Source organism: Homo sapiens, chromosome 21 (assembly GCF_000001405.40).
Source record: "Homo sapiens chromosome 21, GRCh38.p14 Primary Assembly".
NCBI lineage: Eukaryota > Metazoa > Chordata > Mammalia > Primates > Hominidae > Homo > Homo sapiens.
In genome coordinates this window covers 29533986-29560589 of record NC_000021.9, presented here as the reverse complement: position 1 = coordinate 29560589, position 26604 = coordinate 29533986, and the positions used below count along the sequence as shown (strand labels likewise).

General features: G+C 36.5%; 1 protein-coding gene and 1 long non-coding RNA gene across 13 annotated transcripts in view; one reads left to right on the top strand and one right to left on the bottom strand.

Annotated features, from left to right (window-relative positions):
• The window catches only part of GRIK1 (glutamate ionotropic receptor kainate type subunit 1), a 403064-nt gene extending 379407 nt beyond the window's left edge, over nucleotides 1-23657 (top strand). For 4 of the 11 annotated variants that reach the window (NM_001320621.2, NM_001320618.2, NM_175611.3 and 1 more), the window contains 2 exons: nucleotides 5288-5538; nucleotides 23205-23657. In NM_001320621.2, coding sequence (NP_001307550.1) covers nucleotides 5288-5538; nucleotides 23205-23360 — 407 coding nt within the window. In that variant the 3' untranslated portion in view covers nucleotides 23361-23657. Of the gene's footprint in view, nucleotides 1-5287; nucleotides 9644-22705; nucleotides 22793-23204 lie in introns of those variants that run through there. The other 7 variants (NM_001393426.1, NM_001410706.1, NM_000830.6 and 4 more) reach the window with 3 other exon arrangements.
• LOC124905006 (uncharacterized) lies at nucleotides 249-5293 on the bottom strand. 2 transcript variants are annotated; one of them, XR_007067839.1, is made up of 3 exons: nucleotides 3699-5293; nucleotides 2543-2631; nucleotides 249-761 (listed from the first exon to the last, which is right to left on the bottom strand). It is a non-coding gene; the product is annotated as an uncharacterized LOC124905006 (long non-coding RNA). The 2 variants fall into 2 exon arrangements; XR_007067838.1 differs by having other exon boundaries at nucleotides 252-761; nucleotides 2543-3559.
• Nucleotides 23658-26604: the final 2947 nt, after the last annotated feature.

Here is a 26604-nt window from a genome sequence, read left to right as displayed (position 1 = left end):
AGAAAGAAAGAGAGAAAGAAAGAAAGAAAGAAAGAAAGAAAGAAAGAAAGAAAGAAAGAAAGAAAGAAAGGAAGGAAGGAAGGAAGGAAGGAAAGAAAGAAAGAAAGGGAGAGAGAGAAAGGAAAGGAAGGAAAGAAAGGGAGAAAGAAAAAGAAAGAAAGAAAGAAAGAAAGAAAGAAAGAAAGAAAGGAAGGAAGGAAGGAAGGAAGGAAGGAAGGAAGGAAGAAAGAAAAAGAAAGAAAGAAAGAAAGAAAGAAAGAAAGAAAGAAAGAAAGAAAGAAAGAAAGAAAGAAAGAAAGAAAGAAAGAAAACTGTATCATATAAGGTCCTGGTATAGTGGGAACCTGCTCTTCCCAAGTGAGCCCTTGGTAATTTGTTAGTAAGCATTCCAAAGGAGAAGAATCAGGGACTGTCTAGACTACTGGGCAAGTCCAGAAATCATAGCTAACAGTCAAGCCATATCGTTAAGGACCCCAGGTAGGTTTGATTTGCTTGTTGGTATTAGTATTTTTGTCATTTGAAAGGGATGATCCAATATGACTCTCCACATCATGCAGGGATCACAAACTAAAATGCTTACAGAGGCCAAGCAGATACCATAAGTGAGCAAAGCATGCTTGTGCCAGGAGGTAGTAGGGAACGGTGGCAATTATGGAAAATTACAGACCACATGACATACCTAAAAGAGACAGCTGCCTTTCAAGTCAGAGAGTTGTAGACATGTAGGAATTTGAGAACAAGATTGTGGAATATTCCATTTTCTAAGAAAATAAAAAAAATCCAGATTTTAGGTGAATTGTCCTAATGTTTTTATTTAGCAACAAATTCATTAAAAAAGAAAAAGCTGCATTTTATATATTCAACTTTTAATTAATATGAATATAACTAATCAGATAAAGTTCAACTATCTTCCATATTTACCATGAATACACAGCCAATGTGACTTCCTGCTAACTACCTGGTGTTAGAAATATGTGCTATGGAGAAATTAACTTTATTATTATTGTTATCATTTATGTCCTCCAAATAACTTTCCTGCAGAATGATTGGGCTAGAAGATTTACAGCTACCTTCTTGCTTCTTTATTTCCAATAACTTCTACTGATGAAAATACTAATATCGCTAGTGAAGTGTATATTTTGCCCCAAGTGGTAAGCTCTCCTATAATTTAGTCAACATGTTTTCCAAGAGGCTCAGGGAATCATTTGGCACTGGCTAACAGGATATTATACCTCTTTTTGACTTTCAAAACAATGTCCTATTGCCCCAAGCAAGCTTCACCACCTCATTTTAGATAATAAAAGTGGGAGAAGTTAGATGCTATTTTTTATATCTCATCACTGCTGATTTTAGTTAAACGGGCCATAGATCAGATGAGAACACCAAGAGTAGGTACCTTTGCCTGAATTTTTGCAGAATCAAGACCCTCGTAGAGGAGTAACTATAGTTCCTTAATAGAACCATCTCTAGACTAAATTATAAAGTCAAAAACTGTGCTTTTATCATTCTATCTCCCACCTCATAACCCTACCCCACCACATTTCAACACCCCTTTTTGGCACCAAAATTCCTGTCTGTTAACAATGATTTAAAATAACAATGTGTATCATCTCTCCTAAGAACGTTTGAACTTTAACATGAGACTTTTAATTGACATTCCTTCTACAGCATGGAATATAACTTGAAAGCTAAAATTTCTGATAGTACAGTGAGTGACGCAGGGCTGGAGGTAGGAGGGAACAATGCATTTCTTCCTACCACTTTCCTAAATGAATGCAGCACTTTGAAAATCGCTACCTGCTTTCCTGCGAATGAAGCTGACCTAGTGTTGAGTACCATTAATATTAAATATACATATAATACAAAAAAATATATATATAAATATACATATAATACAGAGAGATCCAAAGGTACCCATTCAGTCTCCTTTTGGCCAACCTCACCCAAGTTCCAAAGTTGAAAAGCCTTCCCCACTTCCTAGATGAAAAGAAATACACTCCAGGAATTTTTCACAGTTGTTGTAAACCTGTCATGCTTTTAAACCAAAAACAATGAAGGAATAATTGGAACAGATGGCAGACCTCATGGAGAATACATCCATTGAGAATACAGCTGTTGGAAAAATTTGTGAGATGTTTCTTTTATGATGAATTGACTCTTTACAAAAGATTAGTTGCTATTCAGGAAGATATGTGTGTGTGTGTGTGTGTGTGAAATATATATATGAAATATATATATATATATTTCAAGTGACATAATAACTTCCAATGTCATTTACTTCATTTAAGCAACAACAACAAAAACTTAAGTTAAAATATATTCAGATATTAAAAATTATCTGTACACTTCTAGTCTTGCCCTGACTAACTCCCTTATGGCTGCAAGCTCTGTCCCATAATCAAAGATTGGCAGAGTCACAACACAAAATTGAAGACTTTGCTTCTTAGAGACACTCAGGACAACAGCTCTGGAAATGTACCTCCTGAGAGATTTAAAGTAAAACTCTGAGAGAATAAGAGCATTTAAGGTTTGAACAGCTTACCAGGAGGCTGAAAATTATCTTTCTCAGAGACCAACTTTAAACAGAGATCAGATTTTCATCTGTCTGAAATGTTTTAGGTATTGCGCAGCCTGGAGGCAGAAGGAAAGCATCAGTCAACATTTACTGAGCACCCACTGTGTATGCTCCTAGGATTATTACTGCAACAACTAACATAAGAATCATTCTTACACTCTTCAAAGCACTTTCATGTACATTAAAGCAAAGTGCTCTTGGTTCACTTAATTGCTCACCTGCTATGGGTATATCAATGGTGCTAATTTTTACACTAGCCATTATTCTGAGGATATTTAAGCAAACAGCCAATATCTTTTAATTTTGTTTTCAATATCCATTTTTTTCACCAAAAATTCATACTCTTGATAAGCCATAATTTCACTCCAAAGCATTTTGCTCTTCTTTTAAACTTGCTTTTGAATGCTGACGATTATTTCAGGAAGTCTTACAAGGAAAACTGATAACAAATGACACAAATGTTAACCTTCTGTTTTTCTAACTTAACCATGCCATAGGACATAAGGCTTATGTAGGGGTGGGAGTAATGGTTGGGAACACTGTCGTGAAAACAACACTGAAAAGTAAGAAGTCAGGAAACTTGAGTTTGATTCTTGGCTGTGCCAGCAACTATCAGTTTCACTCATACTTTCAGTTCCTAAATTTCTTCCATTCTAAAATGGAATGTGTACTGAACTGTAAGTGGACTGGACTGTATCATTCCTAAGATTTCTTCTAGTCCTAAGATGCCTCATTTATCAATGTGCTTCCACCAAGAAAAACTTTAACATTTGCAAATAGAGAAAACCAGGGTGTACTACTTTTCTACTGAGTAGAAGAAATGCTAACAAGAGTTCTTCACATTCAAGGACAGATTAATTGAAAGAATCTTACTTTGCCTCTTCCTTTGCATTGATTAACCAAAATCCAGTATTGAGAAGCTATGTCTACAGGTAGATGTTGGCACTTTCCAACCCTTACATAATTAAAAGTTCAGTGGCATTACTAGGAGATAGAGAATAAATAATATTAATAAAGTCCTTGCAAATTTTCCAAACCTACCTGAATTTTGTAGGATATTTGAATTATTCAAAACCTACTCTTAAGTTTATCTTAATAGGTGCATTAATCAGTATGTACTAACCAACATCTGCAAATTTTCAGTGGCTTACACATTCAATGTTAATTTCTTGATCTTGCCACAGTCCAGTGCGGATTGAAAGAGAGGCTCTGCTTTCTTTCAATCCTTCTATTCAAAGTTCCTTCTATTCAAGTTCCTTCTATTTTGTGGTTCCATCATTCCTAGTGACTTGAAATCCTTTCCTTCTTGCTATATATTTGGAAAAAGAGAGAGAGCCAAAGATCATGTTGGGAAGACATCATCTTAGTTCCTATTGGCTAGAAACCAGTCACATAACCACACTGAACTGTAAGGGAGGTGGGAAATGTCTAGTTACTCCCCCTCAGAAGAAGAAATGGCACTGCTGGTCATCCAGCCAAGCCCAGTCACAATATGAGACAACAAAGAGCCTAGAAAAAAGTAAGGTCTAAATAACTGCTAACTTAAAAAATGTAACCACAATATCGATAAATTTGGAAAGTAGAAATGGAGACTTCATTTCTTCATAATTAAAGGGTGACAATCTGCAAGGTGGTCATCCCGTAGGCTGGAAAACATGTGTCCAACCAAGATCAAAGACAGGCACTTTGAAAAAAGAGGGGTTGGGGCAAGAGCTTTATGCCGAATGGGTTGGCTAAACATACATATTAAACTGGTTACAGGCGGAGCTATGAATATTTATGAAGATGATCCTGACACATGCATATTGAACAAAAATGCATGTAACATACAATCCTTGTCCACTTCGGGGTAGAGACTTAACATTTAATGGTTTTATAATTAGGTTCTATACGTCAAAATGTCTTGCAGGACACAATGGCATGCAAGGGTACACTCTCTTTAATCCAACCAGAACCAGTCTAAGGTCGGTGGTCTTCTTCTCTGGAGAAAGTTACTGAAATCAGGATCTTGTTTAATGAAAGGTATATCTGGTGGAACAGGGGCTGGAAGTCAGTGTCTAAGAGTTGGATGAGCTGTAGTTGTTTTAATATTGCTTATCTTGAGGCCAGTGCTTGTTTACCTCCTTGAGAAAAAGAAAAGCCTTGTAGCAGTTGGAGCATAGTTTATTTTTTAAGTCCAAGGCTGTGTGACTTAACCCTTGTCTGGCATGGCCTTCAGTTCTGTTTATAATTTGATATCTTATTGCCACAAATAGACTGCTCTGTCTGACCTCCCATTCCGGTATGGCTGCAAACTAAGTTCTTAAGCTTTTTCTGGGGTCCCTTTGGTTACAAAAGAGGGTCGTTCAGTCAATGGGGGCTTAGAATTTTATTTTTAGCTTACACAGTGAAATCTCTTGACATGTGAAAAGACTCATAATGATCTCACCAGAAACAAAGACATGTCATAGAATTCCTAGCTTTGCTTCTCCTTATTTAAAAGGAGCAAACAATCGGGGCCAAAGTTAATCTCAACATGTCAGCTATCTTCTTTCCAATTATATAGTGCCTTCAAAATATAGGAGTGAACTTTCCTGTCCTTTGCAAGTCAATTTGTGGATTGGGGTCTCACAACAGCCGTAACATAGTTATGACAAAGATGATAATTAAGAATACTTCTGGATGTCTTCTTCAACATTTTGGTGACCAATATCCAGATGGTTTTACTTCCAGGTTCTCCTTACCGGGATAAAATTACTATTGCTATTCTTCAACTCCAAGAAGAAGGGAAGCTGCATATGATGAAAGAGAAGTGGTGGCGTGGGAATGGCTGCCCCGAGGAAGACAACAAAGAAGCCAGTGCCCTGGGAGTGGAAAATATTGGAGGCATCTTCATTGTTCTGGCTGCCGGACTGGTCCTTTCTGTATTTGTAGCTATTGGAGAATTCATATACAAATCACGGAAGAATAATGATATTGAACAGGTGAGTCATCTCTTTCTAGGACTGGTTAGTTTATAGTTTGCATTATCTGTCTTAAGTTTGGGGGTTTTTAAGGATGTTTGCTCTTTTTCAGTCTATTGAATTAGATGCCCAGAAGAGCCATTTTTGAGTTAGAGCAGAGAGCTATTGAATCCCTGCCAGGTGCTGTGGGCACTGCAGGTCCATCATTTATTAACGACAAGGAAGGGGCTTATACACTAAATCCAATTAGCATTATTTGGAAAGACAGTGCAGAAATTCCAAACTCAGTTAATTTTTGAACTGTTGTTTGCTCGTAAGATAGAAACCCTAGATGGAAAAAGGCAAAAATAAATCCAAAATTGGAAAAGATATAAAAAGATATTTAACAGAAATGTTACCAGCCCTTAAGTATAGATTCTGAGCACATGTACTAATGCAAAACAATTTATATAAATATGTAAAAGTCATACTACGAAATTGAACACTTCTATCAAAGTAAGATTTGTAAAAGGATATATCACCTCAAATTTTTTTTTGCCAGGAATGTCATAAACAATACAAAATGAAAATGCAATGTATATGAGACTTTATTTTTCTAAATTGTGTTTGGGATTATAGGACAACTTTAGTAGTTGACCATTTTTGCCTACTACTTTTATTTCTGAAGGAAATCACACCATTTTTGAAGGAAATCAACTTACACTCTTTTGAAAAGGCTGATTGTGATTTAAGATAATTCCTTCATAACCATGCTAGAATAAACAAAATATAAAGTTTATGGTCATCATAGTGAATCAGGCTCTGCTTTGAATTTTTAAATATTGTTAGAATTTTAAGACTATGACTATTAATGACAGAGCCAGTTTAATGCTCTCCTGTCATCTTGAAATTCTAAATAATTTTTGAACAAAGTGTCCCATATTTTCATTTCGCACTGGACCCTGCAAATTATGTGGCTGGTTCTGATTAATAATCTGATAATAGATCCACTTTCTTTAAGTGGAAGCCCTCCTTAAGGGCCCAAAACTGGGGATGATTCATTATAACCTGGTTTCACATGAAAATCTTCCCCAGAATTACAAGGCAACTATGACAACAATGAACACCCCTTTCCAAAGCTCTTGTTATAAGAAGCTGTTTCTTTAATTCAAAGGGAGAATGAACTGATCTGCTTTAACTTTCAATTTGCTCTTGAGGTGTCTTGTTTTATGCAACTAATTTGGAAAATAAAAGCTTGTATATATGATGCTTTAATGTGCTTTTCATAGTTGCCAGCTTCATGTGATGTAAATTTTCATTTAAACATTCATTCTTGCTTCTGATTTATTCATTTTTCTATATTTTTTTCTCATTTCTTTTGCATGCAAGGCTTTTTGTTTCTTTTATGGACTGCAATGTAAGCAAACCCATCCAACCAACTCCACTTCTGGAACTACTTTATCTACGGATTTAGAATGTGGTAAATTAATTCGAGAGGAGAGAGGGATTCGAAAACAGTCCTCAGTTCATACTGTGTAATCAGTTTAAAAAAAAAAAAAAAGATGTGCCCAGTAGAAAATGTTTTTGCTAATTGGTGTTGTTGATATTTGTATTTGCTAAGCATAAATAGCCACAATTCTCTATTCCTTTAGGATAGCAAAACTCATGTATTCTAGACATTGAAATGAATACACTGGAAAGATACTTGCACTGTATGTTGAAGCAGGGGCATATTAGGGGTATAAAGACTTCTAGAAATGTGTATTTACAGGAATCTTCTCTGTCCCACTCATCATCTTAGTTCTATCTTCATGCATTAAAAATAAGTAACTCTTCCTTCATGAAAAAGGAGATTCAGACTTTCAACAGGGCAAAGCATGGAAACACGATGCTAATTCTATGGACTTCTTTTCATCTTTGTGAACTTTGTTCCCTCCTCTTTTCTTCTCCCTGTCTCATATATTGTGTAGATCTGCGTATTTTCAAACTACCCAAAACCCTTACCTTTTCAACAGTACACACATAACTCCATAACAATGTTAATTTTTAATTGAAACTGATTCCACGATTTAAAATGTATTATTTACACAAAGACTCAAAAGTGTCTTAGCATTTAAAGATTTAAAAACCGTGATCCACAGAAAGAAAACTAAACTTGAAACCTCTGGTGTCACAGAAGAGCACTAGCTATGTTGAACATCACTCATGGAAACAGAACACAGTCAAGAATAATTCCTGGGCAGAAATTCATTAACCTCAAACTCTCAAATAACATTTACTTGTAGAATTTAACAGTCTTCTGTAGGTTCTGAGTCTCTAAGGAATGGTGATATTTTTCAAGCTATATAGTACTTCTTTGAAGATCCCAGCAAAGTCCTAAGCTATGTACTAATTCATTTCTATTTACCACTCACTTTGCATTGATGAACATCTTTCTACGAGATGTTATTTCACTTCCTTCCCACTTACCCTAGATAGAGGGGTTGTTCTTGGAACAATCTTTTCTGAACATCACCATTTTCACAGTTATTTCTTTGGATCCATCATTATTATTAATTCATTTAAAGTATTCTGGGGAAACGGGCAAGAAGGAAAAAATAAAGGAAAGAATGTCCATACACATTAGTTACAGATCTCTGTAGATTCATTTTCCATCTGCATTCAAAGTGCTGTAAATAATTTCCATGCTAACTCAACCAGGTGACATAAAAAACCTCTTGCACATTTAATTTGTTGTGACAGAGAATATCTGATGATTCCTCACTAGTGAATAAGAGAGTTGAAGGTGTGTTTCATCTTTTCTAAATATGGGATCAGTTGGTCTTTATTCTTTTCTTAATGGGATTATCTTTTGACATATCAAGAAATCCCCTAAAGCACTTCCTTGAAGTAGAGATATGCCATCTGTGCAATCATACAGCATTTTACCTTCTCTTTGCTTAGCTTTAAATGGCTCCCAGTTTTGGAAGCCACAGGCTTCTCCAATCAACTGTATATTTCTCCAGTAAAGCATATTCAGGAAAGTTGACTAGTTGATTCTTATCCTGATTGTTTCTCAGCTTTGCTTCCTTCTTTAAAGAAATGTACTCAGAAGAAAATATCATAAATTACACTAACATTGTTTTATTATTATTAAACTAGAAGCAACATACTATTTGTCCCAGGTCAGAGTTCACATTTTCATAATCAATAGAATCAGATGTTGGGATGAATATGACATTATTCTTAGTTTCATATTTCATGGATTCAGTATATAGAAACCACAAATTTCCTAAGTTTACTCTCCCAAAGACAATTTAATAAACCAAAAATGCTACCAAAAGAGTTCAAGTGTGATTGATGAAGTATTGACAATCAAAATTAACAATAACTGACAAAACTTAACTTTCTGCAGAGACTATTACTTAAAAGTGTAATTCAGAGATTTGGATAAAGAAATGATCTCTTTCAAAAGTTAATATTTCTATACTACTTTAGACTGTATACTACCTAATTCTGACATTTATGTATTATTTTATAGTTTTCAAAATGTTTTCACATACATTACATTTGATCCTTTCAACAATTTAAATTCAGCTTTACTAACAGAGAAGTAGATATCCATCATCGACCTGTAGTTATAGATTTTAGAAGCAGAAGAAAATTTTCTAAAACAGCCAAACTTAGATTCAGGTTCTAGCAGAGCCACATGCTGAATGACTGCAGGCAAGTTACCAAACTTCTCAGTCTCAATTTCTTAATATGTAGCAGTGGGACAAAATTTCTGGAACACAAAGTTTTGTAGGGGTGTTTTTCAAAATGTGTTCAATTGGCAAATGTTTCTCAAATAGAATTTTCATAGTTAAATAACCCATAGAGCGTCACTCTAAATGTTCCTTTACTACATGCTATCTCAGTGTGCGTCACAAGTTTTTGCGCATTGAGAATTTTCAACAAAGTAGAAAAGTATTCAGCACTTCTGAAGCCTATTAGATTGCAGATTTTTTTCCCCACAGCATCTTGACAGACCAGTGTTCCACAGATCATCCTCAAGGGAACACAGGTATGATCATGTGAATCTCATCCCATAATAGTGTACAAGACATCTTGCATTGTGCTTGGCACATAGTAGCCACTCAATAAATAATTATGTATTCTTTAGAGTAAATTTCTAAGCCTCAATTTTCTTACTTGTAAAATGAAGGTAATATTATGGACTTTATACATTTACTATGATAATTAAATAAAATCATGGCATAGAAAATGAAATAATTAATAAAAGTCCTGTTAATATATATCCGTTAACAACTGTTGGTACCTTCTGGAGAAACTAAGTATTGTTCTCTGGTCACATGGGCAGTAACTAAAATTTATCAAGCATCTTAAAATGGAATCTGGTTTAGAAAATTGGTTTTCTAATTTAGAGGCTCAAGCTCTATCTCTAAGAGCAGTTTTTCTTGTACAAGCATTACAAATCAATGGCAGAGGTCACTGCACTCGAAAGAAGGACCCAAACTGGTAATATGTGAAGATCTATAGTAGAAGCTCTGGACCTCGTCTCTAGAAATTCTAATTTAATTAGTTGGGGCATGACAATGGTAATTTTTTCAGATGCCCAGTTGATTTTAATGTGCTGGAAACGCTGAGAACCACTAAGCTAAAGCACAAACTTATGTACATAATTAGAACTCAATAAATCATTGCTGTTGATTGCTTGATTGATTGCAGAGGTAGAGCCACTAATCCTATGCAGTATGTACAACACATGTTTGGCATTCAATCTGACAGACCCTTTCCACTTAGAATTCAGGAAAAACCTGCACAGCTTTGAGGTGGAAATTTTATGATATTCAATTGATATCATGATTAGTTTTAAAACTATAGAGCTAGATCAACTCAGAATTATCAAGTAGACAGTTTATTGCTCTCTCTGTACCCTTCCTTCCTGGAGAAATCTCAAGTACTTACTTTCTTCACACTTTTTTTTTTTTTTTTTTTTTTTTTTTTGAGATGGAGTCTTTCTCTGTCGCCCAGGCTGGAGTGCAGTCACGCCATCTTGGCTCACTGCAACCTCTGCCTCCTGGGTTCAAGCAATTCTCTTGCCTCAGCCTCCTGAGTAGCTGGGATTGCAGGCGTGCACCATCACGCCTGGCTAATTTTTGTATTTTTAGTAGAGACAGGAGTTTCGCCATGTTGGCCAAGCTGGTCTCAAACTCCTGACCTCAGGTGATCCACCCGCCTCGGCCCCCCAAAGTGCTGAGATTACAGCCATAAGCCTCCGCGCCCAGCCCACACTCTTCTCTTTCTCCCTTTATACTGATTCTCAACCAGTTCTTGCCATCATGTCAATGGATGCTAAGACCACAGTGACCCGACCAGGAACCACTGCATTTCAAGCGAACTGTAGAACAAAAGACTTGAATATGAAAGGAAAACAATTTTTTTTTCAAGCTTTATGTTTACATTATTAGTTCTCCTACTTTGGTGTAAATCAGAACCACCTGGGGAAATTATCCAAACTGCTGTTTACAGGCTCTACCTCTCGACCTTTCTCCTCAGTAGGAAGAGTCCAGGAATCTGCATTTACAATGAAGCCTGAAAGTGAATGACTAAAACTAGTTGTATACATTAGTTTTCATAAAAATTAGCTTGAACGTAGCAGTTTTTTCCCAAATTAAGTCACATACATGATTCCTTCTTAAAAGGATCTCCAATACAAGGGTGTTTTTATTTTTATTTTTTTAAATAGCTTTTCTTACATTTTTTTCCCCAACAATCCTAACGGTAGTTGCATTATTTAAAAGTAGATAGTAAACATGAGTTTTTATTAAAACTAGCTTGAATATAGTGGTTTTACTAGTTTTATTTCAGATTAGCTGTTGAGCATGAGTTTTTGTTAAATAATAACAGATTGTCTGTGGATTATACTTTGAAAAATACTGTTTAAGCTTAGCAGAGAGCAGGGAGGCATTAAAAGATTGAACAAGTGGCTGGTAGTGGTGGCTCACACCTGTAAGCCCAGGAGTTCAAGACCAGCCTGGGCAACATGGTGGGACCTCATCTCTATAAATCAATAAACAAACAAACAAAGACTGAACAAATGCATCAACAGCAATGAAACATAGTGTTGTCCAATTTGTTTCCTAATAAGTTTGCTTCTAACCTAATGAAATAAGGGAAAAAAATTAAGCTTTATATTTTACTTTGTTTTAAACTAAAATTATAAATTGAATTATTTTAGAGAGTTTTTCAAGCAAAATTGGAGCTATTTAAGGAATACATGGTGGGTAGGAATCTTGCCGTTGGGAAAATCAGCTGGATCATATGATTATAAACCTATCCAAGGAAAATTATTTCCAAATACCTCACTGCATTTGACTGATATTATATTATGTTCTGTATGAGCCATCTGTGGCAATGCAGTACTACAATGAATCCCAATTAGTTTCCAAGCACATGACCCTTATACCACAAGGTCTATTTCCTAGTAAGCAATTTAGAGAGTCTGAACAGCCTTTAACAGCAAAAGGAAAGCAAAGCAGTCTTACTTATTAGACTATTTTCTGAACATCTAACAGTGCCAAATGGTATTATTAATTAACTCTTGTAGATAATAAAAAAAAATTCTGCTTGATGCTGCAGTTTTAACTTGCCTTTAGGAAACATCTCATTATGCTTCTCACAGTTATGGAATTTTATGTCCATATGCACAAGCATTTTAAAATCATTTTTGCTTTTTCTAAGAAAATCATTTTTGCTTTTTCTAAGAAAATCAAATTTTCTAAGAATTTCTAATTGCAAAGATATGAACATCCTTGTGATAGAAAGTCAACATTACAAATGCAGTGTGTGAATTTGAAACCCTGCAGAATTTGAACTTTGTTGTTGTCAGCCCAAATACGGCTAATGGCCCAAAGTACACAACAATGTGTGTCCATGTTGCAATGCATACATCCAGATAAGACACAAAAATGAGTAAGACCTGGATGATGGAATAAAGTTACTGTATTTCCCCCTAGCAACTAAAATATTTTAATTTAACTTGACCAGAATTGTCTTTCTCCCCAGTTTTTCAACTGGAGGGTTTAGACTTAAAATATTCAAATATTCTGATTTTTCAACCTAAGACATGAAAGCAGTCCTGATCAGTTTACCAGCCACAAAAACCAAGAAATTACTGTCATTTGATAACCCACTCAACCTTGGTATTTATCTTTCCTCGGTGTTCCTTGGCATATTATCAGATGCTTCCAAGAGTCTTCAGTTCTATTTCTCTGGAGTCGGATCAACTTATTTAGCAAGTGATTTGCAAAAGTCTCTTTAATTAGGTTATTTTTGTAATCGTGCAAAGAGGTTTTCCTTTGCCTGAAAACTCAAACATTCATTAATTATTAGAAAAGCCAGGAAGCAATTAACATCAATTTAGAAATAACGTTTCTAATATACAAGTTGATGTTGTCTTATCAACCAAACGAACTCTGAACGATGGGCATGGCCCAATAGACAGGTGACTTGGGAATCACATGCCAAGAACTCAGGTTTCCACACTGCTGCTAAAGGGCTGTGTGTCTTTGGGCAAGTCATTTTACTTCCCTCAACCTCAGTTTCTTCATCTGTGGAATGAGGAGGTTGCATTTGAAGTTCTCTGCCAACCACAATATTGTTTGACTCTAGTAGAAAATGGGAAGGAAATAAAAACAAAAAACATAGAAGCAGTGATAAAAAGAGATTTTTGTTTCTACATTTCTTTATATGGTTATGTGTCTCTCTTGGACACATGAAATTCTTATTGCCATCAGAATGACTGTGTCCTGCCAGTACTTCAAGGCAGAAAGGCCTCCCCTGGATATAGAGAAAATGGCCCCACTAGCCATCATGACATCAAGAAGCAAGAAGGTTCCCATCTAATGAATCATAAGCAAATCATTACAGACAGAGTGAATTTTACAGAAGTAGAATTGTTCTTGACCTTAATGAGCCTACAGACCAGGTAAAACAAGACAAAAAAGAGATACGTACCTAGGAAGCTATTTGAAGCTGTAGAAATGAATACACATTCACAATTCACAAAAGAGGATGATAAATGAGACTGGACCTCATAGGAAGACTCTCTCTATTCTGTAAGTGTAACTTAGTGTTTCTTCTAAAGACAGACAAGGAGAAATAAAGAGGACAGAGTGCATTTATTTTCTATTGTTTTTATCCCTACCCTTCTTCCTACCATCAAGTATGGGAGTTTTTATATGAACTGTTCTCAAACTAAAAATGAGTTAAACTTTTAGCTTTTGAGATGTTAAGTAGTCCTTGCAGATTTGTAGCACAGAGAAAAATCTTGGAAACCATGGTTTTTAATTGCAAGATCCAGATGTTTCATTGAATATGTAAGTTGTTATAATTCAAAAAAGTTTATCTATAATTGGCCAGAGCCAAAACCCAAAAGGCTAAGGTTGGAGAAACAGAGATAATGATATTTTACTACCTGATTTACCTACCCCAGACCAGATTCTGACCATTAGGAAAGAGAAAATTGGAGGAAAGTCACAAAGGTTAGATACTACCTTAATCTCTGTGAGGAGGCTATTCCTAAACCACTTACCATCTCTGAGCCAAGTTCACACTTGGGAGGATGAAGAAGAATAGAAACCACAGAAAAATTAAAAGGGAATCCTGGACAGAAAATGCCATTTTTACTTCACAGGGTGAAGGGCCAGGAGGTGATAAGACTTGTAGAGACATTTTGTATGCCACTGTCTCCGGAATGGCAGAATAACAGCGTGTAGGCAGTGAAGCTATGGAATGTTTCATACATAGTGTCTTCCTCAATCTCAGAGAATGCAGGGAAAACAGCCAAAAATCCATGGCTCTTCTCACCCAAGAGGCATGTGTGGAAGGGCTGAGAGAACCAGTGGACTGGAAGACTTGAGGTTAGAGCGGGAAAGACACAGGGTGTGTGGATGTGACACTGGGACCATGGTCATCTCAGAGGGCACAGCAGAGACAGAAATCAGTGTTCATGACCTAGTAGGATGTCACATCCCCATGGAAGACAAAAGGACAGAGGGTGGCCTTGGACTAGCTGATCCTGGGCCCTCTAGACACTTCTCCTTATCCCAGCTGACCCTTGGAAAGAAGAGAAGAGAGAAGGGATGTGGAGAGAGGCTTGCATTAACTAAAACATTAACCAAAAGAAAGCATTTTAAACCAAAAGTGAATTAATTACCTTGAGTTGATAAGACACACTAGCAGATGGGGAACCTCTAAGCTAAGGTGAGTTCTATTTTTTTAAATAGTATCACATAATTTGTTTGCAAATCCAAGTTTGTAGCTTGAGAAAAATGCATTCCCACTACCATAGGCATAAACTGGTACCCCGAAAACTATGCATGTAGTGCATACGTGCACTGTGGACAACTAACACCCTACACATCACGGTCAGTTTAGCTTAAAGGTAGGGCCCTGAAAGCTATGCGTGTAGTGCATACGTGCACTGTGGACAACTAACACCCTACACATCACGATCAGTTTAGCTTAAAGGTAGTGCCATTCCCTGTAGAGAAAGGGCATGCAAAGAATTTCTTGGAAGTTTATTTTATGGCCCTAATTCAGCCTCTGAAATGCAATAAAACAAAAACAAAAAACAAAAAAATCAAGCGTTTTCCATGAGGTGAGGGAAAGCCAATCCATGCAGAATCCTCTCAGGCCTTCAGTGCAGGAAGCCAGAGGGAAGCTAGAGGGCCAAGGCACAAAGCCACACTGGCCTCTGACAGTGACTCTGAAGAGGAGAAAGGCACTGTGTGGTTTGGATTGAAGGACAAACCCACATTTCTGCCACTTTTAAGCAAGAAGAGCTGCTTACTTCCAGGTATACAAGGCCCACTGGAAGCTTATCCTCACTGCAGGAATATCTCTCTGTTCTCTGCTCATAGCACTGGACTGGGCCATGTTTCATGCTCCCTTTTATACCATCAGCTATTCATGTGTCCTTTCTAGGGCAGGAAAATGTTTTAGCTGCTCTGGAGCACCCTTGGGAGGCCATGGGAGTCTCAGAGGACAGTTTCAGGCTGGCCTGATGGCATACCCCACTGACACTTCTCTGCTCCATTAACTGCCTCTTCTGAATGCCTGAGACAGAGACTGGGCTATGGTTTCCCTGTGTTCTCAGGTCCCCACACCTATCAGGCTGCATGGGAGTTTGCCCCCAGAGAAGGCAGAGGAGGTGCCCCTCCTCAGATCTCCCTTGGCATCTAGGCTTTGGTCAAGATTCTCACATCACCTGATTGAACTTTTCTCCTTGAGAGCAGCTACGAGACAACCCTTTCTTTACACTCCATCCTCAGTCCTATAGGCTGAGTCCTGAAGCCTCTAAGCTTGATATTTAATGTCAAACTTTTACAATTCAAAGTACCTGCCTTTTCCTTGTTTCAAACACCTGACTGTTGTAATTAATAGCTTCAAAGACTGCAGCGTCTTCTACAGATCCACAAAAGTCCATTTAAAAAGCTCAAAGCTCCAAATTTGAGTCTTTTTTCTTTCTATATCATCCCTACCCTGAAGATAATGCATATAAAAGCACTTGCTGTAACTTGAAAAGTGAGAAAAAGGACTGGGATTCAGAAGAACTGGAAAAAAGCACACAGAGTAATATCAAAATATTACAGGGCCTCAATGTTAACTCCACTTTTCAAAGTTTTCCATGACATTATCCCTAACGTTAGCGGAGGATGAACTTACACATCCCCTACTTGTCAGGAATGTGCACTGGGTAGCCCTGCGTGGCCACCCCATGTGCAAAATTTTTTAAGGATCATTTTTTAAAATTAAGAATCCCTATGGATTGTGCATGCCATTTAAAAATAGACTATTTTTCTGTTGAGAGAATAAGGTTTCTAAATGAAATCTTTAAATAAAGATGAACAACAGGAGGAAGACACTTGTGTATCTGATGTCATGGAGTAACCCTGTGACCCTCATAGGTATATTTTTATGGTTTAAAGAGCTCATTTAGGAGAACAAGGAATTCTAGGGCATGCGTTCATGCAAACAGAGAAACTTAAATCTAGGATCTGAGATGGTAAGGATGTTGGCATCAGGTCCCAGGTGTGGGAACAAAAATTAAATAGAGCAGAAGAGACAACATGGAGGTAATGAAAACATGACATTAGCAAACACGGGAAAAAGGAGTTCATGAAGTCTACATGCTGTAGCCAAAGGAAAGGAAGACAGGGGCTTTCGAGAGTCATTTCCCATGGGGAGCCAGTTTAAAGCTTTAAAGTTGCAAGAAAACGGGCCAGGCAAGACGTGGCTGCTGGGTCACAGGTGGAGATTAGTATGGGCGACCACACTTGTACATTTTATTTCAGTGGCTAGACTTCCTTCACCCCAACATTCTTTACACGGACCCAGGAGATGAGAATCAGCTTTCTCATTAGCTCTCAGGCACAAATCAACATAACCACTATTCTAAAAGCTAATATGGTGATCAACACTCAACCTCTAGGATTCACTTTTTTTAAATTCCAAGGATGGGTGCATAAAAGATGGCCCATGGGTTGTGAATGCGCTCAGAAAATGGATCAAACCACAGGAAATGCTGCCCAAATCCTCAGTTCTGGAATGCAAAAACTTCCCACAAGGGTAGTACACATAAAACTACTCCAAAAATCTCCTTCCACCTGCCTTCACATAATTAGTGAGAGATGATTAAAGCCTGACCTCTGCTCTTAGATCATTAATTCTCTTGGAAGGGAGTGAAATCTGTGGACAGATAGGTGACCAGACTGTACAAGTCTCTATGTTGCAAATCCCTAAATACAATTCTTCTGTTCCTATTCCTTAAAAACTTTCCTGACTGTATCCTCAAACCATCCTAGGTTTGCTCCTACACTAGAGCTTAGAGTTAAAAAATGTTAAGGAAGTGAAGTTTTTGTCTTTCTTTAAAAAATATAATCATTGAGACACTGGCTCCACAGAACTACAGCAGGAATTTGACCAAGACAAAAAAAAATAGTAATAATAATCCCATTATTTTTCAGGAAACTATTTCTTTAATAGTCTACATTTTACTGAAATTGTCTTTATAAAAATACTCCAAATCATAGCTTGCTTTCAACTTATGGTAGGTCTATACATAAAATGCAAGGTTTTACATCTATACAATGACAATAATATCCTCTTTCTTCCTTTTTCCTACATCCTTTTTCTTCCATGTGTAATGTGAAAATTTATCAGACTGTGTCACAGAGCACTTCAAGTGCCTTTGAATAAGGAGCCTATTAAAGGGAGAAACCTATACAAAATGTAAGATTTGTATTGTATTATTGGCTAGGCCAGAGCTTCTGAAAAATAATTCCTCAGAAAAATCCTCAAGGGTATAAGCATCCAAAGCAGTTCTCTGAAATGTTTACCTATACCTACCAATGAATGAAAGATGTGAATGTATAAATGCTAAATCTACAATGAGAAATCAATCTGACATTCACAATCTGATGTCAAGTTTGCAACCAGTATGAAAGTCAATTCCATATAGTCTAGTTTTTTGAATACTGCAAACTCAAATCCAATTCTTGCCCAGAGCTTTATCTATAACTTAAAAAAATTGTTATTTTCCCCTGAATCATTCTTCGTGAGGCAGAGTATTTTAGGTACAAAACAAATAGAACTTTATTAGTCCCTCCCACCCCATCCAGGGCAACATTTGCAACGGAAGGATAAAGGTGTAAAGAGAAGATATAATTTATATTCAGGCTCACACAAGCTTCAAGAAATCAAACATTTGAGGTTAATTCAAAGGAGGTGCCATGAAGCCAGCAATTAAAAAAGAAACAAACCAAAAGGGAAGGTAAAAGAAAGCAAAGAAGACAGAATATGAAAGAAAAGGGGGTCCTTAGGGACACACCACAAGCATGGAGGGATCAGAGTAGAGAAATAACTTTCTGCAAAACTGAAATAAACAAGCAAATCTCTCTCCTTCTAAAGCCAAGAGTTTTAGTTGAAGTTTCTATTTCAATCTCTACTAGACTAACTTGTGTTTCTCCATTTCCTTTCCTCTAAAGGAAAGGTCACACACACACACACACACACACTCTACATTATTTTTGGATAATGTCAGAAACAGCATAAATGGCAAGAACATACTTTATTACTATAAATTCATTTGTAAATGAATTTTTCTATCAGACATTATTATAAAGGTTCATTTATTAATAGATGGTTCATAAGCACAGAGATGGAATTTTTAAATTGCCGGGGACTGTGGTGAGCTTTTATTTCCTTCTGATGTTGGAGTGCCTATGTATAAAGCACAATACAAGTTGTCATAATGCCTACAACTACATAGACACAGAAACATGGACTGGGCAAAAGAAGTGGTAATAGGCATTGAAAATTTATGTTTTAACACCTATGGGAACTATTTTAACTAAAACACTAGTATAAGCAACTCAAAGGAATTGCTGCACAGATGTGCATCAGATGGCTCAAATTAAAGAACCATCAACCTTTTCATTGTATCTCTCCCACAAAAAAAAAAAAAAAAAAAAAGACCGTGAGTGCAATGAATGGCATAGAGTTAAAATATATACTATGGTATATAAAACTTTATTTTAAAGAAAGAGCATACTTAAAATATGCCACCCATTGGACTGTTTTGCATATAACAGTACATTGAATTATCATAATAGTTCTATGAAAATGATTCTACTATTGTCTCACTTTATACATAAGGAAACTGAGTCCAAGAGAAAATAAATACCTTGCCCGGTGTAACCTGGCTACTAGGAAGTATAGCTGAAATTAAAACTCATTCTGATACCAGGCACCAATTCTAAACTGTAATTAAAAGTCACTTGTAGGCCGGACACGGTGGCTTACGCCTGTAATCCCAGCACTTTGCAAGGCCAAGGGGGGTGGATCATGAGGTCAGGAGATCAAGACCATCCCGGCCAACGTGGTGAAACCACATCTCTACTAAAAATACAAAAATTAGCCGCGTGTGGTGGCGCGCACCTGTAGTCCCAGCTACTCGGGAGGCTGAGGCAGGAGAATCGCTTGAACACAGGAGACAGAAGTTGCAGTGAGCCAAGTTGGCACCACTGCACTCCAGCCTGGTGACAGAGTGAGACTCTGTCAAAAAAAAAAAAAAAAAATCAAGTGCAAGTGTAGATTTATTAGAAATGTGAACTCCATCACATTTTTAATCCAGGCCCCAGATCCAGGCTACTGGAGGACTTTCCAGTATGCAAAGTACCAGAAAATACTACCTGAGTATCCCGCCTCCTTTTGCAGTACGTCTTGAGTAAGGCAGCTAGCTGAATGCCATTATGTTTGATACTTTCTCATGAAAGTAGGATTTAGGAATTTAAACCAACATACTTTAAAATAATGTTTCTATGGCTCTGTGAATATGAAAAACCCAAGCCTACAAACAGAAGTTTTAGAAAGCTACAGTCATTTTGGTCCCAGTTCAGAAGCTCAATCTTTATATGTATCCTTAATTCTGAGATCATAAAAGGCAAATTAATTAATGAATATGAGCCCCTCCCAAGCCACTCTGGGCTGAAAGATGACCTTCACAATTTCATTTCCTGTGGATCCAAGAATGTGTGGTTTACTCAAGCTCATGGCTGGGAGAGGCCTTAAAGGTCACCTTTCCTTGTGACTACAGCAAAAACTTGGAGGCAGAAAGGTCAGCCCCAATATCTTGCCATTTTCTTTTCAACAGTCAGAGACAAAGTGAGAATCAAAAAGAAATCATTGTTTGCAACCAAAGACCAAGAAAGCCGCCCACTGATAAAACTATGTTTATATTTGCTCTCACACAAGCAGCAAGAAATAAATACTTGGAGTTAGTCAAGAGTAAAGATGTTTGTTGTACTTTAAGGCAGTCTAAAATCTGGGGGAGGAGTTCCTTTTTTGAAAAAATAAACTTAGTTGAAACAGATTGTCAGGTAATATCTATGACCACTCTTCTACCCAAAATAGGGAAAAGAGGTTTCAATGAGACCTTCCTCTGTGTGTGTCAAGTCACAGTCAGAGATTCATTTGGGCGATTTCAATGTAAAATGAAGTGACATGCCTAAAATCAAATGCTTGAGAGTTCAAGTAAAGCAGAAAGATTGGAATTTCTTAACATAATGGTTTTTGGGAAAATTCACAAAAAGCTATCTATAGTGATAAAAAATATTTTTAAAAGGTAATGTGTAGATGATTTCTCATGAAAGCTCTTGGTTTGGGCAGTCCAGATATACTGAGTTCAAATGCAAGCTCTTTTTCTTGGGTAAGTTACTTAATGTCTCCAATAGTAAATTTCCCCATCTATATAAAGGGTATAATATGTAATAAAGTTTGCAAACTTCTTGACACTCTTTTCTTTCCTCCTTTCGTTCCTTCCATTTTAATGCCAAAAATATTTCTTCCATTGAAATAAATTTCTGAGCAAAGTTTGCAAAACTCTGATACAATACTATATATCACAATTACACTATAAAATATTAATTTGCTCTTAGTAGCAACACACAAGCTTTATATGGTGTAATGTTAACAAATTATTATATTTCATTCATGATATACAGACATGATGTTTTGACTTACAATTTTTTGACTTTGCAGTGGAACGGAAGTGATACACAGACTAGACAAACCATACTTTAAGTGCCCATACAACCATTCTGTGTTTTACTTTCAGCACGGTATTCAATAAACAAATTATATGACAGAGTCAACACTGTATTATAAAATGGGCTGGATAGATAATTTTGCCCAACTGTAGGCTAGTGTAAGTGTTCCATGTGTGTATAAGGTAAGCTAGGCTAAACTGTAAGTTAGGTGTATTAAATGCAATTTCTCCTTAATATCTTCAGCATACATTGTGTGTATTGAGACACAACCCCATAGTAAGTGAGAAGCATCTGTACTTGCTATAACATTTTTTAAGTATAGTTCATAAAAAACTTTCTGACGTTTTTCTTTGTGTGGCATGACACCCCTCCCAATTCACTGAAGCCACAACTTACTGTTTGAAAGAAAATTAGCACACATGACATGAGTTTTTATGTTTCTGTATTACAGGAAAATGGAAGTGAAATTCAAATCCTATAAACACTTATGCTTAAAAGAGATAAAAAGTTTTATTCAAAGAACCAGTTTTTTAAGAGACATACATCTGATAGGCCAATAGTTTACACCTAGAACCTAAATTCTAGGCCTGGTTTTGAAATCAAGTAGAAAAAATTTAAAAATAGAAAAATTAAAACTACTACTTCTCTAAACTACATCAAGTTATTTTTGGAACAAAACGAACATTTTCAAATACACATGTTGCATGCTGATACACAAGAAACACACTAGATGTTTAGTACTTTGCAAACATAGAACACAAATTTCTTCCCGTAAGGCAGTTACAACTTAGACACATTACCTGGTGGCACACTGTCATTTGACTTTCAACCATATCCATTTTGTGTGCTAAGGTTAAAAAAGTATGCTTGCACTTCTATAACCTTTACCAAAGGCTATGGTTTTTAGAGGATTTTTTTTTTATTGTGATAAAAACACTTGAGATCTAACCGCTTAAAAATGTCTAAGTGTTCAAGACGATATTAACTATAGGCACAATGTTGTACAGAAGATCTCCAGAACTTATTTATCTTGCATAATTGAAACCTTATATCCCCTTGAGCAGCAACTGCCCCCATTTCCCTTCCTCCCAGCCTTTGGCAACTACCATTCTCCTCTCTGTTTTCATGACTTTGACTATTTTAGATGTTTCATATAAGTGGAATCATGCTGCCTTTGTCCTCCTGTGCTGGCTCATATCACTAGAGGATGTTTTAAGAGTGACCTCATCAAAAAGAAAACTACTTTTTAGAAATTTCTCTAACCAGGACATTATAGAAATTTCTCTGAGCAGGAATTTTTCACTCAAAGGTCTTATCTTGGCTAGAAAAATGACAGCAAATTATGTTTTATTGGTCCATTTATGTACTATGCATGTGAACAGATATAGCATAATTGCAATGCAGATTATATATATTGTCTGTATATGTAGAACATTTTTTAATCATAATTCCGTTTTCCATTTTCTTTTGTATTATGCCATCGTTTTTGCTGTGAAGTTCAGTACCACATTATTTTTCATTTCGACCACAGCTGCATCATTGCTGCTGCCAGAATCTCTGTTTTTTGGAGAAAATGTACAATTTAAAATTGTTTTTTTTTCTTTTTTTTTTATCAGAAAGGAAAGTCATCAAGAATTAGATTTTATTTTAGGAACAAAGTAAGGTTTCATGGGAGAAAAAAACAAAGCCTTGGTGTAGAGAAGGTTTGTTCATTTTCTATAGCATTACTGAAGTGTCCGTATGCCTTGATAATCCTATCAATGTTTGGATCATCTCAGTGGGGGAAATGACTTAATTTAACTCTATTTTGGTGTCTCAGCAAAGGTAAGTTATCTATTTTGAGAGCCCTGAGTTTGCTTTAACTGGGTAGTTTTATACTACTGCATTTGTGAATGAAATCCCAAAGTTTGCCCAGCTAACTTGCCATCTCAGTTTCCCCGATTAGAAAAGGTGGGTGGCCAGCGGGTGGAGGAGGAGGTGATGGGAACTGGCCAATTGTGACAGAGCTGCCTTCAAGCCAATATCTTGTGTTCATAAATACCTAGGCAAGAGGCAGGTCAACGGCACATGCGATAGGCTTAATTAAGCTGATGGTCTGTATCTCATGTTCCCTAGTGTCTCTCTTTCAACGCTATCATGGAAGAACTGGGAATCTCACTGAAGAATCAGAAAAAAATAAAGAAAAAGTCAAGAACTAAGGGGAAATCTTCCTTCACAAGTATCCTTACTTGTCATCAGAGACGAACTCAGAGAAAAGAGACTGTGGCGTGATCCAAGGAAACGCCTGTAGGAAGAAAAAGGATGCATTCCCTACAGATTTTTGGAGAAAGGATTTCTGAGGAGTGTGTGATGTGTTTCCATATATCTATATCCATAACTCTGATTATGAATACAGATATAAGAAATACAAAAGTTTAAAAAGCTCACATAGATATGACTTGGGAAGTGACACCAGTTCTTTTAAAATAAATTTGTATGCTCAATTATTTTGCATTTTTTCTTTTTCCCCAATAAATTGTTGTGTGTGCTTTCTAAATAATAATAAAACAACAGGGTTTTTTTCCAGAACAAGTTGAGCTTGGTTTGTTCCCCATTACTTGCTCCCATTGGCAAAGGTGTGTTTGCTGTATGTCGTCAGTTGTGCAGTTTGCTATTTTGAAAATTCTTCTTATTGGTTTAGACAAACATAGTCATTTTGGGCTGAGTTTTAAAAATTACTTTTAGTTTATACCAAGTTACCTAGTTACTATGTGAACCAATTTATCTTTGTGTTCTAAAGTCTAATTTTATAAATAGTTTAAATGATACTCAGAACATTAGTGAAGTGCGCTGGAAAAGGATACCAGAAAGCAAAAATACATTCAAAAAGTAAAGGTGTTCGCCACATTCTAGGCACCATTCTAGGTTCTGGGGGTCCCATACTGAAGAAAACAGATATGGTCCCTGTATTAGTTCATTTTCATGCTGCTGACAGACATACCCAAGACTGGGTAATTTATAAAGAAAAAGAGGTTTAATGGACTCACTGTTCCATATGGCTGGGGAGGCTTCACAATCATGGCAGAAGGTGAAAGGCACATCTTACATGGTGGCAGGCAAGAGAGAATGAGAGCCAAGCAAAACAGGAAACCCCTTATAAAACCATCAGATCTCATGAGAATTATTCACTACCACAAGAATAGTATGGAGGAAACCGCCGCCATGATTCAATTATCTCCCGCCAAATTCCTCCTACAACACGTGGGAATTATGGGAGCTAAAATTCAAGATGAGATTTAGGTGGGGACACAGCCAAACCATATCAGTCCCTGTTCTCACATAATTAATTATAAAACAAAGATGAAAAACAGTATATTACTCAAAGCAGGATTAGAACTTCCTCAGAGGAAGTCCAAAACTGAAGGAGCCCTCAGAAGTATTTAACCTGGGGCTGGGTCAAGAAGGGCTTCCTGGAGAAGGGAATAGCTAACTGAAGATTTGCAGGTTCACTCAGATATTATCAGGTGAAAGGAGCCAGGCTGAGGACGCGGCATATTAGAAGGCATGGAAATAAGAGAGAATAGGGCTATTATGTTAGAGGAAAAATGAGTTTGGTGTAGCTAAAATATAAAATGCAAGTAAGTCCAATAGGCCTGATAGGTAGCAGTCACTCTGGCTGAGGGTAGAGGAAGAATTGAAGGAAAGAAGACCAGAAGGGAGACTAGAGGGAGGTCACCCAAAATATTCTTTCAGTAACTGCACCAGACCAAAAGCAGAGAGACCACCAGATGAAGGAGGTAATTTTGAAGCACAATCCGAACAGCCATGGATTCAGAAAGTGGTCTCAAAGGAAAATTCCAGGATTCAGGGAGGTGGGAGGAGAGCTTAACTGGAAAATTGAGGTGGCATTCATTGTGTTGGGAAATAATGGAAAGAAATAGGTATTAGTCAGTATTTCATACAACTGGTTGGTTTCTTCAGGATTATTCTACATCTCTAGGAAACTTAATCTAGTCCTTCAAAGTACAAAAATATTTTCAGACATGAAAGGGAAAAATAATGATCTTAAAAATGGCAATAACAATAACAGATATTGGACAAAGGTTTTGCTTGATTGTAATCAATATTCAGATTTCATATCAATCAGAATTTTTATTGACAACAAATAGAAGAAAATCGTTCATTAAAATGCATTAGAAGACTTAAATTAAACATTTATAAATTGGAGTATGATGAATCTGACCAGCTAAAGATGGTCTAGAATGATAACATATCAGAAGGAGGAAATACAAAGTTTATTCACTTCACTAAAAATTATATCCAAGGCATTCTATTTTACATTTTCTAATATTTTTCTCCCATTTTTAAATTTTTCTCTTATTTTAGAAAATATTACTCTATCTTTTCACATACTATTACAGAAATTTGTGAGAAAAGAAGTACATCAACCTCTAATATCTAAAATATATAGTATATCAATCTGGTTTATGGATATTTTAAGATCCACCAGCCTCTTTCGTCTTCACTTATACATAACTAAATTTTCATTCAATACATATAACACTTGCTATAAATAACTTCATTAAAAATATATTGAAAAACTGTAGAACAGGACTTTTTTAATGTCAACTATTAAATGTAATGCATAATCACCTTCCTTTCTCCCTGATATTTTCATTCTGAAAGTACATTTGACACATACAAATGTACCTACGTTTCTGTGTGCATCTTTGTGTTTTAGGGTGAAGAAGAGAGTAAGCTAATGAGTTCAGAGGAGAGAAGAAAGTGTAGAGTATCTGGAACCCAGTCCAGAAAAATTCCTGGTAACAACCATTAACCTTGGAGATTTTCATCCCTTTCACTAAAGAACAGTGACTCATACAGAGTTATGTAGAAATCAATGGCGAAGTTAATTAAAAACTAGATTTAACATTTCTTCCTTCAGCAATTTCTTAGTGCTAAAAGAAAAAGATTGCCCAGGTGAGATATTCAGGGAAACAAATGGAGGTCAGCTGTTTTGAAAGATGATGTTCACAGTTAAGATTTATTCTCCTTTCAGATTTCGAATCTGGGCTTCATCTTTATTGTAGGAGAAAAGGCAAGACCCCACAGAGTTGGAGATATAGTGCAGGGCTCAAAGTTTTTTATTCTTAGCCTAAAAGAAGCTGCAGGAAGACAGAAATAAGGAGAAAGTAGCTTAAAGAAAACTAGATGAAGATAAAATAGAACTAACTAGCTTTTTCCCCCTCTATCTCAGCAGCTATGGCTTTAATTTAACCCTTTGCCTTCAACAAAAGGACTACATGGGTTCTTAGTCAAGAATCTGCTGAAATTGTTGTTTCAAAGAAGGAATAATGTAAAGGGTAACAGCATCAGCTCAGGGAAAGGTAGCTCTGGGAGCTATCCTTGTAGTGGGATTTTTAAAGAAACATAAAATCTACCTTTTCTAAAATGTATGGCCCACCAGATGTTCCCCAACATCAGAGAGGCCATGGTTGAGTAAAAATTGGAGCATTGACTGAAGGAAGCCCAAGTG